This window comes from Homo sapiens, chromosome 1 (genome assembly GCF_000001405.40).
Source record: "Homo sapiens chromosome 1, GRCh38.p14 Primary Assembly".
Taxonomy (NCBI): Eukaryota; Metazoa; Chordata; class Mammalia; order Primates; family Hominidae; genus Homo; species Homo sapiens.
The window spans coordinates 63,630,703-63,657,549 of NC_000001.11; the positions used below are offsets into that span (position 1 = coordinate 63,630,703).

Sequence of the window (26,847 nt, forward strand, 5' to 3'; positions counted from 1 at the left end):
TTATTGTAATAATTGACAGAATAAATATTTATAAAAGTATTCAGATTAATAAAATGAGGATGAGATGATTGGCAATGAACTTGCATTTTGACTTTGCCCTAACATGTTTTCTTTCTTCTGGATTGCAACTTTATGGAATGCATTTTATTAGTCATTTAGTTCCTGGCTAAAGGATGGATTGCATTTTTTTGTTTGAACCTACTCAGGGAGAGCTGACAATTGCATCCTAACAAAGATAAAGTGACACTTTGGTCATCTCGAAGACATTCTTGAGGTTCAGAAGATTCCAGTAGGGAGTTTCTTAAATTCTTCATATTTTGAAAATGTTCAGAACCCCTGAATATCCAGCAGTTTTGAAAATGTTCAGAAGCCTTGAACATCCAACAAGAACAACAATACTAAGTTCTTATATTTATATAAGTTTTATTTTTGTTTTATTCCTTAAGCAGTACCTGTGAAAAGTGATTCATTAAAAAATTTCATTTTCCACTTAGTACCATTAAGTCTTGATGACAATGGACTTGGAAAAAGAAAAGGAAAGAAAAGTGGGGATTACATTTTCTACTCTCTATAACACCAAAACACACCTCTCAAGATGACGAATGGGGAAGCACTGTGGTGGCATAGCAGAATTTATACAACCTCTGTTGAAAATCCCCTGTGTGCCTCATCCAAGCTGTGTGGGCAAGTTTCTTAACCCTTCACACGTCGAGTTTCCTCATCTATCAAATAGGACTAATAACATTTACCTCTCAGGAAAATTGTTAGTATTGGGTAAGGATTGGTAGTATTAGATAGTATCGGATATCACTTAACAGCCGTATTATTGGAGCTGTTCAATAATTGTCCTTTTAAAATAGCAATAGCAGGTTTACAGCAATATAGTCACATCAGAATATAATATTTCTAAATGTGTTTAATCCTTCCATCTTTTGATGTTGCTTGTTCTCACAGTGGAAATTGTGGATTCGGTAGAAGCTTATGCTACAATGCTGAGAAGCATCTTTGATTTCAGTGCACTGAAAGAACTACTTTCTGGGCCAAACCGACTGAAGATCCGTATTGATGCTATGCATGGAGGTATACAATCATTTCTTTTCAATTCCCATCTCTTGAGGATAGGAAGTTGCCCTCTTCTGTGTGTATCATGATGCTTCAACAAGCCTTTTCTCAAGTCTCTCTGATGGTTTTTAAATAGAGTTATTTTGCAACCAGAGCAATATTCACACAGATAAAAATCTAATTGTATGTAGCAAAAATAGTAGAGACACTCCTCGTGGTAAGCTCGTGTGAAGGTCAGTGTTTCCACCTTAAGCATCAGGTTCTGAGTAACATGCAACTGCTGTTGTGGACTCTCCCTCCCCCTCAGAAGATACCTTACATTCTTGCTGCATGCCCCCATGTATTTCTGAGAGGACGGTCATTTGGGAGATGTGATAAACATACTCCTGAGCCCCACACCCCCACTCACCTGCCCCCAAATGCTCGTTTTCTTAGAAGAGGGCAAGAGCAAGCTGAGGATTAAATTCAGGAGCAACATGATGTGTACAGCCCTCTCTTCTTCCTCCGTGGGTTGTGTGGTCAGGTCCATAGAGAGGGCAGCTATCACTGTGAACCAGAACCACGAGGGTTTTCTCAGACATGTAGGTATATGAGAATCCCTGAAACCTATACACATACATCTGCCTGGTTGGAGAAGCCTTTCTGCCTGCAACTGAACCCTTTTAGTGATGCAATTCGGGGATTCCTGTGACACTGCAAACCACAGAAAGTCTTCTGCTGGTGAACTAAAACCTTCCATCCTTGAAACTTCTCCCCTTGGGTCCTAGCTGGCCTCTGGACTCCCATAGAATGGATCTACTTCCTTACTCAGACAAAAGCGATTCTGTCATTTTAAACCATTCAACAGATGTGTATTGCATACCTGCAAAATGCATGCCTGGGGAATAGGCAGGAACTGGGCAGATTACTTTCTTCAAAGAATGTGCAATGTTTGGGGAGACGAAGTGGGTAAAAAACTAACCCCGGGGTCGGGCGCGGTGGCTCACACCTGTAATCCCAACACTTTGAGAGGCCAAGGCAGGTGGATCATGGGGTCAGGAGTTCAAGACCAGCCTGACCAACATGGTGAAACCCCATCTCTATAAAAGTCTCTATAAAAATACAAAAAATTAGTCGGGTGTGGTGGCACATGCCTGTAATCGCAGCTACTCAGGAGGCTGAGGCAGGAGACTAGCTTGAATCCGGAAGGCGGAAGTTGTAGTGAGCGGAGATCACACCACTGCCCCCCAGCCTGGGCGACAAAGCAAGACTCCGTCTCAAAAAAACAAAAAATCCCTAAAAAACTAACTCCTGCCAGGCCAACAAAATGAGAGTTGGAATTTCAAGTATTCTCTTTGGGGTTGGAAGAAGGCATAATTTGACTAGGTATAAAGAAAGGTTTCCTGGAAGAAGTGGCATCCAACTCAGTTCTTATGAAAGAAAGATCTAGAGTGATGAAAAATCAAGCAATGGTCATTCTCATGGAGTCGGTGGCTGTGGCAAAGGCATGAAGGCTTAAAAATGGATGTCACATTAGGGAAACGAGAGGCCTGGGCTGGCTGGATAATGGGGCATGTGAGGAGGGCATTGGGTAAGAGGAGCTTCTCCGGAAGAAGACTACTTTTCTCCAGGTCTTTTGGCTGTTCCTCTAATGCTTTCGTTTCTATATCCCTCACAGCCCTGGCTGCCTTGACCTCATTCTGTGGTGTGTCAGTAACCTGCTTAATAGGTGATGCCTCATAGGACACATTTATTCTACAGTGTTATGACCTCTGGGGCATGTACTGTATTGGGATTAGTACCATCCTTGATGAAAATACTCTCTCAGCATTTCAGAGATGCGTGTTCTTGGTAGTTATATAAAATGTCACTGTAAACATATGTAACTGGCTTCTCCTGTTGTTTGTTTTTGGTGGTGGGTTTTTTATTTTCTTTTTTTTTTGAGACGGAGTCTTGCCCTGTTGCCCAGGCTGGAGTGCAGTGGTGCAATCTCAGCTCACTGTAACCTCCGCCTCCGAAGTTCAAGCGATTCTCCTGCCTCAGCCTCCTGAGTAGCTGGGATTACAGGCGCCCGCCACCAGGCCTGGCAAATCTTTGTGTATGCATGTGTGTGTCTGTGTCTCTGTGTGTGTGTGTGTGTGTGTGTGTGTGTGTGTGTGTGTGTGTGTGTGTGTGTATATATATATATATTTTTTTTTTTTTTTTTTTTTTTTTTTTTAGTAGAGACAGGGTCTCACCATGTTGGCTGGGCTGGTCTCAAACTCCTGACCTCATGTGATCTGTCTGCCTCAGCCTCCCAAAGTACTGAAATTACAGGTGTGAGCCACCGTACCTGGCCTGTTTGTGTTTTTTTAATCAGTTTGTCAGCTAGCTTGTCATAATATAAAGATAACAGCTCTGAATCCCAATTCCCACTTTTCCTAGCCATGTAAGTTTGGGCAAATGTCTTTACCTCAGAACACCAACATTCCAATGTATCTGTAAACTGCAGGTGATAATCATAATATAAACATTTATAACATATCTGCCAGGTACTATTCTCAGTACTTCATAGCTATTAACTCATTTAATCCTTACATCAATCCTGTTAAGTAGTTAGCATTACTACCCTCATTTTGCAGATGGAAGAGACTGAGGCACAGAGAGTTTAAATAACTTTCCCAAAATTATTATACAGCCAATGACTGGCAGAGCTGGGATTTGAACCCAGACACTCTGATTCCAGAGTCCAGGCTCTTAAGCTCTAAGCTGTACAACCTTCTGAGCTTTTCTGAAGGACTGAATGGGAAAGCACAGGTATACCGCAGGGCCTTTATAATGGTTGGTTTCCTTTCCTTTCCCCACTCTGCCCTTCATGAACTGGCCCCACCTTTTCCAACATAATCTCTCATTGTTCCTTTTTAGAGAACATTCTTCTCCAGTCAGGCGTATCTCTCCACTAGTCCCTGAACACATTTCACACATTCCTGTTGTTTCTCATGCCATTCTTCTCCCCAGAATGCATCCACCTCACCCCTGAATCCTCACATACTTTAAGGAGTTTTATTTTCTGATTCTGCATACATTTATTCCATGCTGTATATAGTTGTGGGACCGTATGTAAAGAAGATCCTCTGTGAAGAACTCGGTGCCCCTGCGAACTCGGCAGTTAACTGCGTTCCTCTGGAGGACTTTGGAGGCCACCACCCTGACCCCAACCTCACCTATGCAGCTGACCTGGTGGAGACCATGAAGTCAGGAGAGCATGATTTTGGGGCTGCCTTTGATGGAGATGGGGTGGGTATAAGTGCATTTAAGTGAACTCTGGTGCAGGCCAGGCCTGATCCTGCAGATGGGGAAAAAAGTGGGCTGCTTCTGCCAGACCCAGGGAATAACTGTTAAGGATCCCTCATTCTGACCCGAGGTCAGAACTAAATTATTAGAAGCCCCTCTTGAACAGGAATAGGAGTCATTGAAATGAAACCCACACATTTAATTTCAGACATCCATACTTGCTAACAATGGCACGATGATTAGGTTCTGATTATGATAGAATGACTGGTATTTCCTGAGCTGGGTGAGTTCTAGATGCCTGTCTTAAGGTGGGTTTCTGCTCTCAACCAGCAGCTGGCTACTTATTTAATCTCTGGACAAGATTTTGGTCTTATAATACACCCATTCATTCATTCACATGAGCTGAATATTGAAGCTGTAATTTCATTGCCTATATGAAGATGATATTGAGAGAATTAACATTTTAATCATTCTCTACCATTAAAATGTTTAGAAATAAGCTGTTTTATTTACAAGGGTGACTATGTACCAGACAAGGAAGAGATGTGTCTTAGGTTTATATCCCTGGTATCTCACTGATGGTAGGCACTGTATACATTTACTTAGTTGAAAATATATTTTTGTTGTTGCTAGTGTTACCATTAGCTAGAATCCACTGTTTCCTGAAAAATGATTTTTCCCTTATCAAAATGTTGGGAAATTAAAGGGGTTCCAGCAGACATTATTCTGTAGTACATCTTTGTGATGAGTGCATTCTGGGAGTGTTTTTTGGCCACCCTCCCAGTTACTGTGGTACACAGACTGTGGTACACAGTTTACCCAGTAGACCTACCAAACTATGTAAACAGCCAATATTTCTTCTCTCATTGCATTTTCCCCTCCCCTGGGAAAAAGATGATTGGTTCCAGAGTCTGAAAAAAGTCTAGGAGGTTAAAGTTAGCTGGCCTCTGGAGGGAGAACAGAGGACTCAGCTCAAAAGGAGGTTGTGCTTGGACTTTAATTGAAAACAGTTTTAACTTTTTGGCATGGAGGTGCCTTCGGCCCAATGGTACTGTATAAACTCATTGAAAATAAAACCCAGTGTTAAAAATGCAGTATGGAAAGGAGATCAATTTCAAATTTTATAGTTTTACATTTTATAAAACCCCCATGAAAGATAGTTTGATTTCTTATAGTTTGATTAAAAGGTCTTTCTTTGATCCTCTCTTCTCCCCAAGGATCGAAACATGATTCTGGGCAAGCATGGGTTCTTTGTGAACCCTTCAGACTCTGTGGCTGTCATTGCTGCCAACATCTTCAGCATTCCGTATTTCCAGCAGACTGGGGTCCGCGGCTTTGCACGGAGCATGCCCACGAGTGGTGCTCTGGACCGGTAGGTGTCTCCATTCCCTTGGCCTTCCTGTCTTAGGTCGTCCCAGTCTTCACCATACCCTTCACTGTGCCTGGAACACGTGTCCTTCCCTTTCAGCATGGGCATCTGATGCATAGAGTGTGCTGAGCGATTCTTGTGTGAGGGGATGGTTGGCTTTTTCTGGATTCAATGCCCCTCTCCGCACTCCCTTGGCACCCTGGGCCTCCTCCTCCTGGCACTTACCACACTGTGTTCTAGTAGCTGTTTTCTTGATGGGCTGCCCTGCTAGACTGTATACTTCTGCAGAGAAAGGACTGTTTTGTTCACCATCTGGACTCTGCCTGACCATAGCGTGCCTGGCACATAGTAGGACAAACACACACACACACATACACGTATAATTTTTTAAAGTTAATGAATAGTTGAGTGTTAATGAATAACAATGGAAGTACTCAAGACATCATTCTGGAGGATCACTTTTCTTTTGCAGTGTGCACAGAGTGTGGGTGAAAGAGCAGTTTGAAGTAATTTTAGAGTTTCAACGACTGGATCGCTCTTGCCCACACAAACACAGTGAATGTTTATATATCACTTCATTGTACAAAGGCTTTGAGGTGGCTTGTTAGATCACACTTAAAAAGTTGAAAAATGAAAGTCATAACAGATGAGGACCAGGGAAAACATTAGTTAGAATATGTCAGGTGTGCAGGAAATGTTTGATGAATAAAAGGTAAAGAATGAATGAATGAATAAAAGGTCAAGGCCAGGGAGGAAAGTAGGCTGTAATATATCTCTAGGCTCTTATAATAATAGCTGATATTTATTGAACATTACTTTGTTGTAGACACTAAATATTTTGCATGTTTTAATTCATTTACTTCTCAGATGAACCCCATGAGGTAAATGCTGTATTTAACACCATTTTTCTGGTGGGAAAACCAAAGGACGAAGAAGTAACTTACCTGAGGTCACCCAGCTGGTAAATGGCTGACTCAGGATTTGAACCCAGAGCCTTTGCTCCCACTCACTGGGCCATGCAGTTGTTTTCTGTAGAGGGGAGATGGTTATAGAATTGGTGCTGACTTTGCTTCAGCTAACAAGAAAATAGCCACTAATATCCATATAGTGGTTTGTAGTTTGTATAGTGTTTTTTTACATTCACCATCTCAATTGATCCTCACAGCAGACCTCATTTTAAGGAAGAGGAAATGGAAAGTCAGGGAAGTTAGCAGTCTTGTCCAAGATCTCACCACCAAATTAGAGCTAGCATTTGAGCCCAGCACGTCTACCATCAGGTCCTGCATTTGAAATTATGAGCTGGTTTGAGGTCACACTATCATATGTTAGGCCTGTCAGGTCCTGGAATACCTTCTATGTCATCCAAGAACAGTGTAATTCCAATTTTTGGAAAAATTGATAATCCACATATAGAATCACAATTGAAGTACCTCATTACCCAGATAAAAGTTTATTGTACTTTCATAGTTTTCAAAATCATAGATTTGATTTTTCCTCAAATATCAGAATGCAAAGCTGACATTGCTTTCCTGGAAATAAGGCAAACATTCTGGGAAGCAAATCTCGCTCAAACAGTGAATGGAACTTATCAGGTAACTTTTCATGTTCAAAGGGAAAGGAATTTTTTTTTAAGTCACTCAGAGGTTTTAAATAGTTTAAAGATACCTAGAGAGAAATAAAAGACGTGTTAGAAGGGAAGGGGAACCACTAATCAGTGTGGGTGAAGCCAGTACTTAGGGGAGACCCCACTGGGCGTTTCCCCTGGGGAGACTTCTGATGAGACAAAAGCAGCACTGACCAGAGAGCTGAATACTGGGCGGTCGGTCATCCTGGCTTTGTGACCTTTGTCTGATCACATAACATTCTGGGCCCTGTTTCCTTCTCTGTAAAATGCTAACTGCCCAGACCCAGTATGTCATGATTCTGTGATTACAGGTGCATCAAAACATCATTCTTCTCTTCTTTATAGATTGATTATAGATGCAGTCTGTATCCAAAATGTGGATTTAAATAGCTTAAACAGCAGCCCTGAACATTTTACTACGGATGCTTCTTCTAAAATATTAAACTCCATGATCTGAATTAATTCTTTCTTCTTCCGCCTTCTCTGAATCCACATATAATAGCCCATTGTGCACAAGGTTTCTCTTATGATTTTCCACCAATCTTAGAATTATGTATGACTCTGAGCAATGCTAAATGGGACCCTTGATTACAATAACGATTGCCCTTTTCCGTCCCTCACATGGCCACGCTAACAGTCCTGCTGTGATGTAACTTTGATTTCATGCCTTTGAAGGGTGGCTAGTGCTACAAAGATTGCTTTGTATGAGACCCCAACTGGCTGGAAGTTTTTTGGGAATTTGATGGACGCGAGCAAACTGTCCCTTTGTGGGGAGGAGAGCTTCGGGACCGGTAAGTCACACTCCTGTGCTAGCATTTTCCTCCCTGTAACCACTATTTCCAGTAAAAGCTTAGACTGCTAAGGTAGCACTGAAATACCAACGGTAGCCGATGTGTCCTAAATCAAGGCACAAATTATTTATAACAACCCTGATGAAATGTGCACATTTGAAAAGGGGTGAGCACATTCAGCCAGAAAGGCTAATTTTACTTTCAGAGGATCATATCGACTCAGACAGGAAGTTGGGGGGCCTCCTCAGCAGCGTGGTCATTGAGTCTGCAGGGATTAAACAGAGCGATAAACAGATTTTTCTTCCTTCGGTGGTCAAAGAAACCTTTATAAATGTTTTCATTTCTGAGAAGAAATACGGTGGAGCAAGTCGGTTTTTTGTTTTTATTTAAGAAGAGGTTTCAGCACAGCATTAAATCTTTCTCTTTTATAGGCCCAAGTTTTCTATAGCAGAGTAATCAAGGCTAAATGAAGGAAGACCATGAGGGTGGAACTAAGTTGCTAGGTGATCAAGAAATTAAAAATACATCGTTGTGCCTGAGGATGTTTGTGTAATTGTATTAATATTAGAGTGAAAGAAGGGTACATAGTATTCTCAGGGGATGACCCCAGACCTATAGACCTCACTCTCTGCGCTCTCCTTCCTCCTCTCTGCTTGTCCAAATATTGACCCGAACTCCCACCTCCTTCACGACCTTCTCTGCTACCTCATGCTGCCTGTATCAGTCTCTCTTTCCTAAAAGTCTGTTCAGGTGTGTGGCCCTGTCCCATGTATCAGTCTCCGGCCAGGTTATAAGGTAGTTAAGTGACTGCATCTCTTCTCCTTTTATTCCCTCTACCCAATATTTTTAAGTAAATGTGCTGATCTTGGTCCTATAGTACTCTACTGTCACCCTTTAGTGAAGAAAAGAAGATCAAAATCAAGCATTCTCTCAGCTTTGCAATTGAGTTGCAATTCATGCCAGGTTAAACAGAACAGAATACTGACTTCATTTCCTTTCCTATAAGTCTGGAGGTAGAGCAGGTAGAATGAGCTGCTAAATTGGAGGCACATATTTACAGAGTTCTAAGCAACTTGATATTTTCGAGAGTGGTAATATTCCTTGGCAATGAACTGCCTTGATAGAATTGGAAGGTATGAAGAAGGCTGGATGAGTCTTGGGGTTGAACAACTTCCACAACAAAGGCTAGACAGTTTCCCAAAGTTGTGGGTGTTTAAATCAGAGATTACAAGGCCACTGCTTAGTCCTTTTCTACTTCATATAATGGGCATGGTGCCATGCTATTCTGAGGGATACTACATGAGTGCCCAATGAGCCTATGAGGTGGTCTTCTCCCATGAAACTCCCCACAGGGTCATCTAGTTCAGGCCTGGCTTCAGTCATTCTTTATGAATGAAGATGTCTTTGAAGGCAGCAACTGTGTCAAAACCTTTGTTTTCCTGTTCTCCTGTACCAGTATCAGTGTTGAGCCTAGTGAAAAGATAAAAGTCTAGAGTCAGGTTTCCCAGAGCATGTGAGTATGTGGAAGAATACTAGTTCCATGAGAGGGTTCTAGGGGTCAAGAAAAATTGGAAAAATTGGACCACACTTCTCTGTTTTGGATATTCACAATGATATTAGCATTTGAAGATTCCAGAACATTCTGCCATAAAGAATCCTGTTAGTACAGTTTTGCCTAAATATAGTTTACCACTATATATAATAATTATGATGATATGATACAATATCATCACCACAATAATGATTATTATTATTATCATTTCGTAGTATGTACAGTAACTTCTTTTTCCACAGACCCATGTGGGAAGCCTTGGTCAAGAGGGATCAGAGCCCCAGAGCCAAGTAGGAATCCCTGGTGCTGACCCACAGGGAACAGGCCTGAAGACAGGATAGCACAAGCTGCTCCTCTTACACAACAGGCCTTCAAATACAAGAAGCAGCTCTCAGGTCCTTCCTTCTTCAGGCCGTCCATCTTTGTTTCCTCCAGTCATTCCTCATTTCACATTGTTTATAGACTCAGTGCCAGACTCTAGGTGCTTCTGAGTTTGCCAGTGCCACTCTTAGAAGGTGATGCCCAGAACTGAGCCCAAATCTTCCAGGGTTGGCCTGGCAAGTGAAGAGTGGGGTGGGATGATTATTTCTAGTGATTAGGACACTGTATTTTTCTTGACATAACTTTCCTTTATGTTAGTTTTTAGGAAGTTGCATAATACTGTTTAGCCCACATAAGGTTGTGGGTAATTAAACCCTTAAAGTTTTTACCTAGAACTATTTGCCAAGGGAAGTCTCTCATGTTATGTTTGTGGAATTGATTTCTTTGAACCAAAGTATTAGACTTTAGACTATTGTTAAAGTTTGTTCTCATTTATTAACACATTCAACAAATACCTAGTACCAATCATGGTTTTAGCTTCTCCTTGGTATATTTCATGTCCAAAGAGAGAATGCTCTTCATTATCATGAGGATAATCACAAGCTCTTTCTCTCTCTCTCTCTTCAAAAAAAGAAAATTTTTGTGTAATATTTCTGAGATAAACATTTAAACAGCCAGGCTGCATAGCCATAGATCGCTGTTGTGAACGAGTGCAGCTGGGCTTATTTAACTGAACTCCTGATCTTCTTATTTATAGAGGAGTTAATTTTTAGCAACCACGCCCCTTGCTAGTGAATGTTTCCAACAGTTCTTTCATAGAGTTTCTCAGGGTAGACATTAGTGACTCTATGAACTTTGAAACATTTGAATTCTATAGCTTAATTGAGCACAGAGTGCTTTATTTCTGTATTTTTCCAGGCGATAGGAGAGACAATTTCTCAAAAACGTTTCCTTGACCTTTCAGAGTGGGCCAAATCCCCTGATTATTGGCTCTTGTGGCACCATGTACCTCTTCTTTGTTGTACTTGTTGCAGCTGTGATTTTACAATTACTTATGGTTATTTGATTAATGTCTGTTGGCTGTATATGCCATGAGGACAGAGATCTTATGTGTCTTATCCTGCATTGTGTCCCTCGAGCCTCCCGTAGAGCCCAGCATAGAACAGGTGCTCAGTAAACGCTTGTTGAATGAGTTCATGAACACTATTCACTTGGCACCTTCCATTTAGACAGATTCCTGCTATTGGAAAAGAAAGAACTTTAAAAGGTATCTGATGTAAATTCCTGTATGATGCTGGAACCATAGTGACTGGTCACTGCTTTCTGGCTGAACCACCCACCTCAATGGAGAATCCACACCTCACCTCTTGCCGTAGTCTGGGACCCTTGTAATGACTCAACACCACTTCCACTCCACAGTCCAGGGTTGGGAACCCCAGGGTCTTTGCGGGAAGAAATGCACTTTTACAAAAGAAAAGAAGTTTGCTTGCAAAGAGGTGCAAAGGAGTCTAACTTCAGGACTGGTCCACCGAGTAAAACAAACCACTAGCATCTGCAGAACAATCTTGGAATATTACTAACATTATACATTAGTCTGTTTGTATACATTATACATTAGTCTGTTTGTGCTGGAGGAGCAGCAGCTTTCTCACCTGGATATGGTAACCACAGAAGCTAGGTCACTTACTTCTTCAGAGGTCAGCATTACAAACACCAGGGATAAATGGGGACCAGAACTGGACAGGATAAGCCTGTTGTTGTTTGTTGATCTCATGGTACAAAGCTGTTTTTTCTTCCTAACCGTGGATGATTATGTACATGTTTATACACAATGGTAGAGGGCAGACTGTCAGTTCCATCCCACCTTAGAATTGTTGGGACTTTGAAAGTGAAGTCACTGAATAGTATACAATACCATGCATTTGAACCCTTCCTCAGGAAAATAGGGGGCTTGGGAAAGAGCGATGGGAAACCAGGTTGATGATGAACTTGGTATCACTTAGAGATATGTAAGTTATGATCTGGTCAGGTCTAGAGGCTAGCAATATTTTTTCCCTGTCCTGTCTTTAAAGGTTCTAGTGCTAATGTATCATACAGGAGTGATAACTTAAAGAAATACAGCATTAACACTTTGCAAATTTCTTTTAATTTTTAGTTTCATATGAAAAGTCCTTCATGTTTGCACATTTTGCATTGATTCATTCCTCAAATATTTATTGAACTTTGATTTTATCCTGGATACTGAGTTAGACTCTGGGACACATGGTGAACAAGGCCTTCTCATAGAGGGCTCCATGAATTACAGGTGTGCAAAGCAATAGAAGGTGAAGTACAGGGGTACTTCGGGAGCTTTATTCTCAGGGTGCCTAACTTGGTTCTGTGGTGTAGGAGATCAGATTTTCTTTCTGGCTTTCTGCCCATTCTAATTTGCATAGCTACTGAGTACATTTCCCTGTAGGCAAAGCCCACAGGGGAAGATTGTAGCACCCCATGTCTGGGGATAGCCTAGACAGAATACGCCAGTAGAACTAGGCTTATACCCTAATTATAACTCACTCATTTAAAGTGTTACCTGCCTGTCTGTCTCCCTCACCTGTATGTCTGTGCTCATCTGTGAGGGCAGGGGATACGCCTTGTGCATCTTGGTATCTTCTTATGTGCTTGGTACATGCTGGCACTGATTCACATTTGTTGAGTGTAAAGTGAAGTTTGTGTTAGGACAGAGTTCCTGCTTATCAGGCACTTAAACTACCTTCTTCCAAAGGCACCTTATGGAAAGGAAACCAAGTTCCAGGGGCAGTAATGAGGCAGGTCAGGCCTCATTGCTAAGTGGAAGGCCTGACAGTTCCTGGGGCCAGCCTCCTGGGGACTGGAGTGGTCTGGAGAAGGCTTTCTGAGGAGCTCACCTTCCTTTCCAAGTGAAGTTGTTTGTGCAGTGGAAGACCAAGAGGACAGGACTGCAGACACAGCAGGTCAGCTGAGCCTCCCAGCCAGTCAACTGGGGCCCGGCCATTCTTTGGGCAGACTGTCTTAACAACTGACTTTGGGCCAACCCCTGTTTGGGGAGTACAACTCATAGTCTAGGATACGGCGTGATCACAGGGAGTGGTAGAAGCACAGAGGGCATGGGGAGGGCATCCTGGATAAGACTGAAGTTGAAAGTAATTGCAGGACATGTTAGCCAGGCTAGTAGGTGTATGTGGAATGGGCTTTCCAGGCAGTGAGAACTGTATGTTCAGGGGGCTGGAGGAGAGAGAGAAATTGACAGAAAAAGAAAGAGACAGACAGACACTGGTACTTTCAGGGAACTCCATGCAGCTGTTTTTCAGCTGTCATGCCCCCATCCTCAGGCCTGTCACCTGGCAGGGGCAGAAGCCAGGACAGCTCCTGAGATGCCCATACTGGTAAATGTAACCCAATCCCTAAACTGTTAGCTCTTGGCTCCCTCAGGAATGGTTGACATTTTTCTTGGCTGAGACCCAGGATGTGCCCTGGCTGAGCCGAGTATGTGCTTATCACAAGGTGCTGATTAGGCCGAAGTAAAGTGACAGGTGTTTGAAGATGCTGAAAGGGTAGAATTCCTGTCCCTGAGCGGAGCAAGGGTGAAGAGACCCAGTGCAAAACCCACCACTGTCTTTTGTGCCAGCTGGGACTAGAAGTCCTTGCCCAGAGTGTTTTACCTTTCTCACAGTTAAATGAGCTTGGCTTCATTCTCTTTCTAAAATTAAAACATAATGAAACAAGTAATTTATGTTCATTATGAGAAATAAGGAAGGAGGAAAAAAACACTAATCCCAGTGCCCAGAGGAAAGAGCATATTAGGTTATATTCTTCCATTTTCTTCTCCAATATGTACAATCAAGGAGCATTATTTTTAAAAGCATAATAAAGTCAGTGGAAAATGTAATAATTTTCCATAAAAGCCTTTTATTTTTCCCTTTATTCGAAACAGTATCTAGTAGTTACATTACACCTCACAATGTATAAACTATTTCTACTTGCTTTTTCGTAGTAATTTCTCACAGTTATGAGAGAGAAGTTAGCATTATTTCTGTTTTGCAGTTGAAGAAACTGAGGCTCAGAAAATGTGATTTGTCCAAATTCAAGTAGTTTACAAGTAACAGAGCCTCAAATTCAGGTTTATCTGATTCTTAAGTATCAAGCTTTATCTGCTGAGCCACAGAAAATGTGATTTGTCCAAATTCAAGTAGTTTACAAGTAACAGAGCCTCAAATTCAGGTTTATCTGATTCTTAAGTATCAAGCTTTATCTACTGAGCCACAACTGCAAAAAGAATAGCTTTAGAAACACGTACCTGCACCATTGGTATTTTCCACTGGAAACTTGGCATCATTCATCAGAACCCTGAAGAAAATGAAATTTGCTCCAACTTCCTGAGTATTAATTGAATTACCTGGAATTTTTGATACATCCAAGGTGATTAGTGATGAACCAGAATATCCAAAGAGGCTGAGGATTATGCAATTGGAATTGGATATTTGTTTATGTTACCCAGGGCAGGTATTTTGTTTATAGTATTAGGTGTATGATTTAGTTATCTCCAAGTAACTTGGCCAGAGTTGGGTAAGATTTTTAGATTTTATTTTCATTTCCACATAAAAGAAAAAATCAAATTCCTTGCTTAGGGCAGGAAAAGCCACAAGGAACACTGCCTTCTATGCTTTCAGTCTAGCCAAAAGAGAAAAAAGAAAAAAAAATTAAGGAGAAAAAGAAGGAAGAAAAAAACCCAGTGGGGCACAGACAAATAATTCCAAGCTGTATATGCTGTCATGAATTCCCAATATATTAGGGAAGCTGCCAGAATCTTGCTTCTCAGGATGAACTGTTGCCAAAACATATCATTTGCAAAAGCCGTAAGAGCCAGAGAGCTTTTTGCTCCTTAAAATAGCAGTAAGGGCAAATAAAAGTCTAAAGATAGTAAAATTAGGTAAACATTTTTAAAATATGTTATATAAAGCACTAAAAATATTGCCTACTCTCTAGTTTTGCCTGCATCCGGGTTTTGAGGACTGTTAACTTCTAAAAGTAGTATCCTATTGAAGAGAAAAGTCTTTTGAAAGAAAAAGTCATGTTTTTTTAAGAACCAAAAATAGAAAGAGAAAGTGTTGGAGTAAATTGATTGGTTGATTCATTCACACAGTCTTTCATAATTAGTTATTTACCGTATTCCTTGTGCTATGCTAGTCACCAGACTTAATTACAAGGATAAATAAGAGATGCCCGTAAGAAGCACACAGTTAGTGGGGAGAAAGGCTCACAAACAGATGGTTGAGACTCGAGGAGGCTGATGCCACCCCAGATGTTTTGTGCAGGTTGCTACAGGAGAAGAAAGAGAAGGGAGTTCATGACTGCCTAGGGAAGTTGGGAGCTAGTCTTAAAAAAGAGAGGACATTTGAGCTGGGTCTGAAAAGATGAAGAGAGGAAGGAAAAACACCACGTGCCTCCTGCATACCCAGCATGGTGCTAGATACTCTAACAATTCCAAGAAGAATAAGACCAGCGGGAAGTGCAGTAGGGCAGGCACATAAAGAATTCAACATAGGATAATGTGAGAGCATGATTATAGAGCAATTGTGTACAGTTCTATTCAGAAATCAGAAAATAAGGCTCCATGTAGACTGCTTTCTTTCAGAATAAAGAGTTTAAAGGCAAAAAAATGAGAGTTGTGTTCCATATCAGGCTCTTGGAAAAGGGTGTCCATGCATATAAGCACATCCTCCCGAGAAGCCCATTTTAAAATTTTGTTAAAGATTTTAGCAAGGACCTTAGCAGGAGACAGATGTCTCCTTTAAGAGACATCATTAAGGTTTGTTTAACCAAACCTTAATGGTTAAAGAACAGTGTCTTGGAGTTGCTGGATCCATGAGTAGGTCCAATTTGAAGGCTTTGATCCTTTTTTGCCAAATTGATGTCCAGAAGGATTGTGCCAGCGTCCACTCCCACCAGCTCTTTGGTGGAATCCCGTTTCCCTTTTATTCTCCTGGCACTGGCTGTTCGGATTTTTACACTTGTGGATTTTTACACCTTTTGTCAAGCAAGTAGCAGTTTCTCATTGTGGTTTTAACTTTAATTTTTCTTCTTAAAAATAACACCAGCTTTTTATTATACTAATTGGTTGGGTGTATGTGTCTATGTGTATTGTTTGGCAAATCGCCTATTGATATCCTTGGCCTGTTTTTCTATTGAAATTCTTTTTTCTTATTCATACATAAGAATTTTTTCTATATTGAATGTATTAAACATCTGCCTTAAAATATATCAAATGTGGCCGGGCATGGTGGCTCACGCCTGTAATCCTAGCACTTTGGGAGGCCGAGGCGGATGGATCACCTGAGGTCAGGAGTTCGAGACCAGCCTGGCCAACATGGCGAAACCCTGTCTCTACTAAAACTACAAAAATTAGCTGAGCATGGTGGCGGGCACCTATAATCCCAGCTACTCGGGAGGCTGAGACAGGAGAATCGCTTGAGCCTGGGGGGCAGAGGTTGCAGTGAGCCAAGATCATGCCACTTTACTCCAGCCTGGGCGAAAGAGCGAAACTCCGTCTCAAAAAATAAAATTTTACATATATATATATATATATATATATATATATATATATATATATATATATAGTATTAAACATCTACCTTAAGTGCTATCCACTTTTAAACAACCAGATCTCTTTAATTTTTTAAAGTTTGTCAATGGGCTTTTAATTTTGTCCATAGTAGTTTTACACTATAGAAATGCTGATTTTTAAGTAGATAAATACATCAGTGTTTTCTTTTATGAATACCGAATTTACATTATTTATCACCCCTAAGATTTATATATATAAATATATAAAAAGACATGTATATTAATATAATATATACTAGTATTTAAAAGCTTTCAGGTTTTACATTCGAATTTTTAGTTCAACTGGAATTATTTTTGTTATGGTGTTTTATAGGGAAGAAAACAATTTTTTAAAGCTATTTATCCAGTTATCCAAACGCCATTTAAAAAGTAATCTACTCTTTTCCCACAGCCTTGCAGTGAGACCTTTGTCATACTCAAGCCTCTTGTGTGCTTGGATCTCTTTCCAGATGCACTCTTGTTCTATTAAGCTACCAGACTATTTGAATTATTGAAATTTTGTAATGGTCATGTTCTTCTGCTGTTTGTTCATTTAAGATCTATTGTGTTTTCTCTTCACATTAATACTTTATAACTGATATATCAAATTCCACCTAATTATCTCACTGACATTTTTATTGACTTATGCCTTACATTTCTAAATCACTTTGGGAAGCATCAATTTCTTTTCAGTATCATGTTGCCTACTTAATATGTGATTCCTCCTGTATACCCAAGTCCTCAGTCAGGCAGTGTGACTCTTTTATTTGGGTCTGCACACCTACTGTTGAGTACTGTATTAGTCTGTTCTCACACTGCTATAAAGAACTACCTGAGACTGGGTAATTTATGAAGAAAAGAGGTTTAATTGACTCACAGTTCTGCAGGCTGTACAGGAACCATGGCTGGGAGGCCTCAGGAAATGTACAATCATGGCAGAACAATGAAGAGGCAGCCGGCACCTTCTTCACATGGCTGCAGGAGAGAGAGAGTGAAGGGGGAAGTGCTATATACTTTTAAACAACCAGATCTCATGAGAACTCACTTACTATCACCAGAACAGCAAGGGGGAACTTTGTCCCCCATGATCCAATCACTTCCCATCACGTCCCTCCCTCAACATGAGATTTGGGTGGGGATGCAGAGCCAAACCATATCAAGTACCTTCTCAGGTACTGGGAGAAAGCACGTTTCTTACAGCAGCTTGCTGTCCCCCCTCCAGGTTCTGACCACATCCGTGAGAAAGATGGACTGTGGGCTGTCCTTGCCTGGCTCTCCATCCTAGCCACCCGCAAGCAGAGTGTGGAGGACATTCTCAAAGATCATTGGCAAAAGTATGGCCGGAATTTCTTCACCAGGTGAGCCACAGCCCAGCTGGGGTACAAGGTAAGGTGGGGAAGTGGGCAGAGAGAATTCTTGCGCATCCACAGCCTCTCCTGTCTTAAGTGCTAATAAAACCCTAGGTCATCCAGCCTCTCTCAATTGGAGACTTTAAAAATAATCTGGTCAGGGATGAAATGAAGTCAATTTTTATGTCAGCCATAAAGAGTGAGGCTTTAAAAGTTTAGCTAACATAATCAAAAGAATAAATGCTTTATAAGCATTTTAAATGTGTCCATTGGGTGGACATGATCATAACATTGGATTTGGATTCAGAGAAATGGATTAGAATTTTATTTCTTCCCCTTACTAGATTGGGGAGCCATTTAGCTTTTCTCTGTACTCAGTTTTGTCATCTGTAGAAATGGGAATAACAGTCCAGCTGTTGAGAGGATTAAATGAATAATGAGTCTGAAAATGTTTTGTTAACTTTGGGGCACTGAAAGCCTAGAAACTTTTTTTCATAAATTATAGAAACAGTTATGCTTAGTCCACATCGACTTTTCTGCCTTGTGAAATAGGTCCCCAAGGGCTATATACTTGTCAATAATTTTTTTAATTTATTCAACAGATATTTACTGTATACCCGATTTCCATCGGGTACTTGGAATTCAGCAGTGAACAAAATACTTAGAATACTTAGTAATTATTCCTTATCATGCGTACTTCTATTTTTAAAAAGCATTAAAAAATTTTTGACAGTAGTACTTTTCACTAATTCCAATTTGCCTTTCCCCCAGTTAGTGTAAAAATCTAACAAGAATTTTTCTGGACCTCAGTATTCCAATTATAGAGAGAAAATATGGTAAAAAGGATATTAGATGAATTGTTTATGTATAAGAAATGAATAGGTGTAATTTCTCTGGACCTCAGTTGCCTGTTCTATAAAATGGGTGAGTTAGACTAGAGAATTTAAAAAATATATCCCAGATTTTATAGTCCGTGATCTCTGGATAGTCAAGAAAGAATTCAACTAAGTAAATTAAGCTCCTTAATCAGAATTATTTTATTAACTTTGGACGGATTCATTGATCTCTTTCTCTCTCACGTTACTGTTTTGTGGAAGGAATAAGTAATAACTACCTGACACCACACAGTAGCCCTGGGAACCAAGGCAAAAAAATCCCTACTTTATAACAGACAGAAAAACCTGGTCATTCAGAACAGCAGTCATGAACTGTCTAGAACCTAGAGTATCATAAAAACAAGGCCATGTCTGTTTTTGTGCCCTAAGCACCCAACTCATAGTAGAGACTGCATAAATACGTTTTGAACCGATAAATGAATGAGTTAACAGGTGAACAATAGCCAGAGTAGAATAAGGTTAGGAGGGGTTGTTCAGAGAAAGGGTCACACCCTTGAATTAGTCACAATCCTCCATATAAAAACTATTTTAACATGATTTTATTAATTATCAAATATAATTGCTAACCAAGTATTACAAATCAAATCCTTAGTACCTGCATTTATGATTAGTTAAAACTCCATTATACCTTCCACTTACTGAACAAAAGCGCTAGGCACTTTTGCATGCATTGTCTCACTTTAGCCTCAAAACAGTTATTGATAAGGTAGCTGAGATTCTGAGAGATAGGGCAGCTGGCCCTGTAGTCACACAATTAATAGCCAATAGAGGCTGGATTCATAGCTCATCTGTCTGATTGCAAAACCCAGACTCTTCTATTCCACCCCTCTGTGCCTAGGGTTTAGAAAACATTTCTCTGGAGTACCCAGAGGTCAAAAATGTAAAGCACAAACACCTGGTTGTAATTTCTTGTTGTTTATCATGTTAACTAGGGGAAAGAGCTGACTTTAAGATTAAGGGGACTGTTTGGCCCTTGATTCATAGAATCCTGGAGCCAGAATAGGCTGGCCTTAATTCCTCAGCATTTCTCATGTCTCAGAGGTGTCATCTTGCATATATGATATCTATTTCACGATTACAAATAAATATAGACTCTGCTATCTTGAGCTTCTAAAAAATAACTCTCTCAAGAGGGTGTATGCCACTAGGTCAAGAAAAGCCACCTGTACAAGTCTTTAACATCATAAGAAAGAAGTCAAAAAGAATTCTTGAAGGAAAACTCATCTTTATAGAATTTCATTTGTGATGCACTTTTTTCCTTGGCCCTTTTTCATCCGCACTGGGCCTCTTCTGTCAGGGTGAACCCAAAGGACCTTGGACCAAAATCCACTGCCACTGAAAGGAGGGAGGCAGAACTTAAAATAAAACAAAATTTAAAAAAAAAAATTGGGAGAGCATCAGGATAAACAGCTAATGCATTTGGGGCTTAATTCCTAGGTGATGGGTTGATAGGTGCGGCAAATCACCATGGCACATTTACCTATATAACAAACCTGCACGTTCTGCACATGTATCTTGAAACTTACTAAAATTAATGAAAAAAAAAAAGGCATTTTAGATGTAAAGAGTCAGTGTTTGGCGTCTTCATCTGGTCGGTGAAAACTTGGCCCTGCTTTAGGAAGCTCCTGTGGAGCTGGAACTCTGCTTAGTCAAAATCTCAGCAGCCTCAGGCAGGTCTCAGGCTGGGAGCAGGCCCAGCATTCACCCCAGAGAAGCCCAGGGAGCTTGGAGGAGAAGTGCCTGAGTCACGTGCTCCTTTCAAGAGAGTTCTCCAGAGATAACATTGCTTTTCATTTTACCTCCTCAGGATGTGGTGACTAAATGTTAGATAGCATCTTTCAAAAGCCTTTGAAACATCTTAGAGCTTTATTCTGTAGAAATGCCAAGATGGGTGTTTTCTGCTTATTCAGAAGCTCATAACCCTTCCCTGAAATCCTCCAAACCCTTCCTTTCATCCCTGGCCTGTTCCATCCCCAGTGACTGACAGGCCTGTATTTTTTTTGCCAGCTTCTTCTGAAGTTAGATAGTTTTGCGGGAGGGCCAAACAAATGATGAAGAAAGTGCTGACTGATAGGCCTTGGTGTGATCTGCAGTCAGCCCGTGGGCCTCAACTTCGTGACTTCTTCCAGGTATGATTACGAGGAGGTGGAAGCTGAGGGCGCAAACAAAATGATGAAGGACTTGGAGGCCCTGATGTTTGATCGCTCCTTTGTGGGGAAGCAGTTCTCAGCAAATGACAAAGTTTACACTGTGGAGAAGGCCGATAACTTTGAATACAGCGACCCAGTGGATGGAAGCATTTCAAGAAATCAGGTAGAAACAGACCGGTGTGTAAGTGAGAGAGAGACCTCAGAGCTTCATCTCTGACATCTCAAGGGAAAAATTAAAAAGTTCCTGTTGGCTATTTTTCTTTTGCTGCTGTGTTTTTCTAGGGTAGCTGTTCTTACCTGGTTTTCTGCTGTCCCACGTGACTCTCACATGCACTCGTTGGGACAGTGGTTTATGCCCTTGTTCTGTGCACTGTCCAGTACCCTCATTCTGGGATTCTTAACCTGGACTCCAGAGGGATTTTTGCACTCTCTGGAATGATATGCAAGATGATGTGTCCATTGTACATGCAGAAAGGAGCCCCAGAATCTAAGAAAGAGGGAGAACTGTGGGAACTTAGATGTCAACTCCTCTCTTTTCTGTCAGCAGATTATAGCAGAGTGACAGCATGTAAGTGGCATTATACTTATACGTTTCTCTCGTATGTTCTAATTTCTAAAGGAGAGAAAAATAGATGAGGCATTCCCAGACTTAGAAACGTTGACCATCGTCATTCGCAGCACATGAGTGGCACCCCACCTAACACAGCAGTACCTGGCAAGACGCCACAGTTTAGGACCTGGAGCATCTCTAGATGTGGACAGAATTGTTAGTGCTTCCCTTACTGTGTGCCGGGTACCCTAGGCTGCAGGCTGGGTCAGGCTTTCTCCTGGCTTCTCATGAACACTTACGCACCAGGGTTCTCTCACCTCTGCTTCTGTTGCCTGTTGTCACAGAGTAAACTCATCTCTCACAATTCATAATAGAATAAAGAGCAGGATGAAGATTCTGTTACAACCTCCCAGTTTACTTTTTTCCAATTGACCCAGATTTTTGGCCTGGTCCTTGTCAAGGCATCTCATAGGGTTTGGAAGGGCCGGGCCGTGGGATTTACTGGAGGCTTCCCTCTGGGGAGCAGGCAGTGAATGGATGGATGGGCCACAGCAACCCTCAGTGCCTGGAGTCTCCCCTCCTCAACTTCTAGCACAAGTGGTTTCTCATCCTTGTGCCTGTTTGCCATTTGTGAGAACTTGGGGTCCAGTTTGGATGATTGTAAATTATGCCTGAGATAATTAGAAGAGAGACCTGTGGTTGAGGAAGAAAGGGGTGTAGAAAAGGAGTGGAGCTGAGGGATGGCAGAGTGGGACAGAAGTTTGTGTCATTAAGCCTTCAGAGACAGAAGGGAAGTCAAGGAAAAGTAAATCCCAGCTCTGCAGTGCCTCTGGCATCTGCCAGGAGGGAGAAGAGGTGTAAAGGTGTGTATAGGAGACAGTGGCCTAAGCTCGAGAGCTGCCCTCTGTGCTGTAAAGAAAGCAGCTGCCCCACTTTCTGTAATCAGAAAATCCAAGCATTTTGATGTGAGACCAGATAGGAGGGAAAAATATGATCCAACATATATAGATAGAACATCTGCAATCTAGTGAAAAGAATTTTAGAGGCTTCAAGTTGAAGCTGTGAAGAAAGGAGACCAACCCTGGTGTGTTCCTAGAAAGCAAGAAATGGTCAGTGAAAATGGACCGTATCCTTCCCATAGTGACTAACTGTGGCATATCCTCTGTGTATTTCATCTACTGTCTTCACTAATCAGTGCTAATGAATGGCACCATTAAACACCAGATGGGGATTGGTGACGAACAGCAGGTGAAGAGCAGCATCTTTTTGGTCAGTCTTTGGTGTTATGCAAGGTTCTCCTTTTTACAGAGGATGGATAGACTCATAAAGACTGAAGAGTCCTCAGGCAACTTCTGTCCCAGCCTTCTTCCCTCAGGTTGGGAAATATCTACCCCAGAGTTCCCACACATTTTTCCCCAAGTGAGAAGATAATTGATGTCCAGAGATACCGCTGGGGAGGAAAAAGAGAGGGCAGCAGAGAGAAGGATGGGCTTGGCACTTCACACGGACCTCGCTTTGGGTCCATCAGGGATTGGCAGGAGATTGGCCACTGGCTCCTGCTTGTTAGGTTGGGAATAGCCAGTCTCTGCCATTTGGGACCTCTGACTTCCTGTTCTCTTTTGAGGACCTTTGCTAGTGGTTTGTAAGAGTCCTTCCCCTCATCTGCCTGAAACCTCTTCAGCTCTGGTTTCAGCCCCTTTGGTCCATGTTTCCCTCTTGATCTGGGGGCTGAATTTTTGCATCTAGCAGCTTTATGTGCTTCATTATTAAGCTTCAAACTGGAATGGTTAGTCCATAAATCACAGGGAAGTGGGGAGAGGAGGGAAGCCCTCACATCACCCAGCATCACTGAGGTCAGGTCTCCCCTGACCCTGGAAATGCTTCTCCCACCGTAGCTAAGCCCCCATCAGCTGGATGCAGAGAGGGTGACGGAAGGCAGGCTCACAAGGTGCAGCTGCTGCCATTTATCAAGGATTTAACCCTCCAATGAACAAGTATGGATGAAATTACATCCCCAAATAGACCCCTCATAATTTGCCAGCCTTCAGTCTCCCAGCATTTGGGGAAAAAAATCTCTGCTTATCTTTTCCAGGGCTTGCGCCTCATTTTCACAGATGGTTCTCGAATCGTCTTCCGACTGAGCGGCACTGGGAGTGCCGGGGCCACCATTCGGCTGTACATCGATAGCTATGAGAAGGACGTTGCCAAGATTAACCAGGACCCCCAGGTAACGCCCAGCCCTGTGCCCTGGTTAGTTCTTTCTGTTCAAGGGAATGATAGTTTCCCATTGAGCCTGTGTTTCAATGCCCATTTCTCAAATGACTCAACAAGGTACCAGCTGTGCTTACTTTCTTCCATGTTTCTTTCTCCATGTCAACATTATAGATAATAATTATAATAATAAAAATAGGGAGGCTGAGGTGGGAGGATCACCTGAGCCCAGGAGGTCAAGCCTGCAGTGAGCCAAGATCACACCACTGCACTTCAGCCTGAGCAAGAGTGAGACCTTATATCAAAAATTAATTAATTAATTAATTAAAAATAAAAAATTTTCTGAGCATTTATGGTTTGCCAGGCTGTGTTGTAAGCCCATTATGAAAATATACTCATTTAATTCTCAAATAACTTAGACTGTTATTCTCCCTGCTACAGATAAGGAAACTGAGGCACAGAAAAGTTAAGCAACAGTTAATAGGTTTACATGCCTAGTAAGGATAATGAATCTCTCTTTTTTTTTTTTTTTTTTTGAGACAGGGTCTCACTCTGTTGCCCAGGCTGGAGTGCAATGGCACAATCTCAGCTCACTGCAACATCCACCTTCTGGGCTCAAGCAATCCTCCTACCTCAGCTACCTGAGTAGCTCGGATTACAGGCACGTGCCACCATGCTCTGCTCATTTCCTTTTTTTTTTTTTTCTTTTTGTAGGGAGGAGGTCTTAGTACATTGCCTAGGCTGGTCTTGAATTCCTAGCCTCAAGTAATCCTCCTACCTCAGCCTCCCAAAGTGCTGGGATTATATGTGTGAGCCACTGCACCCAACCCAGGATAATTGGTCTTTAAATCAGCCCCTCATCTGGTGTTCTGCTCTGTCTGCAGCATTTTGTTGCTTTGTTTGGTCTGATCACCTGCTTGGGCAGAACACACCACTGGGTCTTAGATTTGGTGGGGGCAGGGAGAGGCAGTTTCATGTGTCTTCACAGAACAGTCTGCAGACCTGCAGCTTGGTAAGCTGGGTTCCTCAGCCATTCCCCCAAAAGTCTTCAGAAGTATATCAGAGTAAGGAGGGACTCTGGGAGCAAAGGGTGGGACAGTGAACTTGAAGGACAACCCCCAAAAATGGAGGAGCCAAGGGGAAGCAGTGAAGGACAGGACAGTTTCTTTAAGTGTTTTTCACAATCCTTATCTCAACCAGAGCTCCATAGCTTAAAAAAAAGTTGGGGAAGTGTTGTGGTATATTAGCCCCTTCTTGGTGATTCACAGCATACAATGCAATGCACCATAAAGGCTCCAAGATTTCGGACATGGTGGCCTGCACCTGTGGTCCCAGCTACTCAGGAAGCTGAGGCAGGAAGATCACTTGAGCGTAGGAGTTCTGGGCTATAGTGTGCTATGCCTGTCGGGTGTCTGCACTAAGTTTGGCATCAATATGGTACCTCCCGAGAGGGGAACCACCAGGTTGCATAAGGAGGGGTGAACCGGCCCAAGTTGGAAACAGAGCAGGTCAAAACTCCCATGCCGATGAGTAGTGGGATTGCACCTGTGAATACCCACTGCGCTTCAGCCTGGTGACATAGCAAGACCCCATCTCTAAAAAAAGAAAAGGAAAGAAAAAAAGAGGGTGCTGAGAAGACTTGCAGTAAAGGTGCCTGTTTACATAGCATTTGCTGAAGGACATTTCTCCAAAGAAAACATACAAATGGCCAACAGGCGTATGAAAAGGTGGTCCACATCACTAATCATCAGGGAAATGAAAATCAAAACCACAATGAGCTGTCACCTCACACCTGTTAGGATGGCTGTTCTCAAAAAGACAAAAGATAACAAGTGTTGGGAAGGATGTGGAGAAAAGGGAACCATCAGACACTATTGGTGGGAATATAAATTGGTATAGCTATTTTGGAATAACCAAAATATGGAGGTTCCTCAAAAAGTTAAAAATATTTTAGTACTAATATACGATCCAGTAATCCCTCTTCTGGGTATATATTCAGAGGAACTGAAATAAATATGTCAAAGAGATATCTGTTCTCTCTTGTTCATTCAATATTATTCACAATAGTCAAGATATGGAACCAGCCTAAGTGCCCATCTACAGATGAATGAAGACATTGTGGTGTGTGTGTGTGTGTGTGTGTGTGTGTGTGTGTGTATACCACAATGGAAAATTATTCTGCCTTAAAACAACAAAAACCAAAATCTTGCCAATCTTGCCATTTGCAATAACATGGATGAACCTGGAGGACATTATGCTAAGTGAAATAAGCCAGACACAGAAAGGCAAATACTGCATGATTTCACTTGTATGTGGGATCTAAAAAAAGTGAATCTCATAGAAACAGAGCAGAAAGGGGCTTACTAGGGGGTAGTGAATGGGGAAAATGGAGAGATATTGGTCCAAAGGGTACAAAATTTCAGTTATGTAGGATGTAGCAGTTCTAGAGATGGAATGTACAACATGATGGCTATAATGAATAACACTTGAAATGTACTAGGAGAATAGATCTTAATTGTTCTCACTATCACCACCACAACAAAAAAGGTAAGTAGGTGACAAGATTGATAATGTTAGTTGGCTTGACTCTAGTAATCAGTTCACTATGTATTTGTATATCAAGACATCATATTATATACCTTAAACATAAACAATTTTTATTAAAAAATTGAAAGTAAAATAAAATAAATAGCATTTGCCATGCTTATTTTTCCACAAAGGCTTTTTTCTTTTAACACCTAATTAAAATCCTGTGAAACTCATTTGGAAACCCCTGGCATAGTGGTTTTGAGCAAAGTTAAAGAGATCTTGTTTTAAATTCTATTCCTGCCACTTAATAACTGTGTGTCCCTGGGTAAGTTGTTACAATTTTATGAATCTTGGTTTCCTTGTCTGTCAAATGGCAGAGTAATACCTACTTCATCTAGTTGTTACCGGGGTTTAAGGAGATAATAAATGTAAAATGTTTAAACACTGTGGCTGGCATATAGGATTAACTTTTCAGAATAAGCAGCACTCTTAGTTTTTTTAGTCTAACTTTAAGTGTAACATAATGCTATTATAACCATTTTTAAGTATATAGTTTAGTAATGTTGTACA

General features: G+C 41.4%; 1 protein-coding gene and 1 pseudogene across 3 annotated transcripts in view; both read left to right on the forward strand.

The window, feature by feature from the left end:
- Nucleotides 1–26,847, forward strand: part of PGM1 (phosphoglucomutase 1) — a 66,835-nt gene that overhangs the window by 37,292 nt on the left and 2,696 nt on the right. For all 3 annotated transcript variants that reach the window (NM_002633.3, NM_001172819.2, NM_001172818.1), the window contains exons 4-10: nt 955–1,080; nt 4,127–4,317; nt 5,532–5,686; nt 7,983–8,098; nt 17,815–17,950; nt 20,967–21,150; nt 23,630–23,764. In NM_002633.3, coding sequence (NP_002624.2) covers nt 955–1,080; nt 4,127–4,317; nt 5,532–5,686; nt 7,983–8,098; nt 17,815–17,950; nt 20,967–21,150; nt 23,630–23,764 — 1,043 coding nt within the window. The remainder of the gene's footprint in view (nt 1–954; nt 1,081–4,126; nt 4,318–5,531; nt 5,687–7,982; nt 8,099–17,814; nt 17,951–20,966; nt 21,151–23,629; nt 23,765–26,847) is intronic.
- RN7SL130P (RNA, 7SL, cytoplasmic 130, pseudogene) lies at nt 25,041–25,345 on the forward strand (annotated as a pseudogene).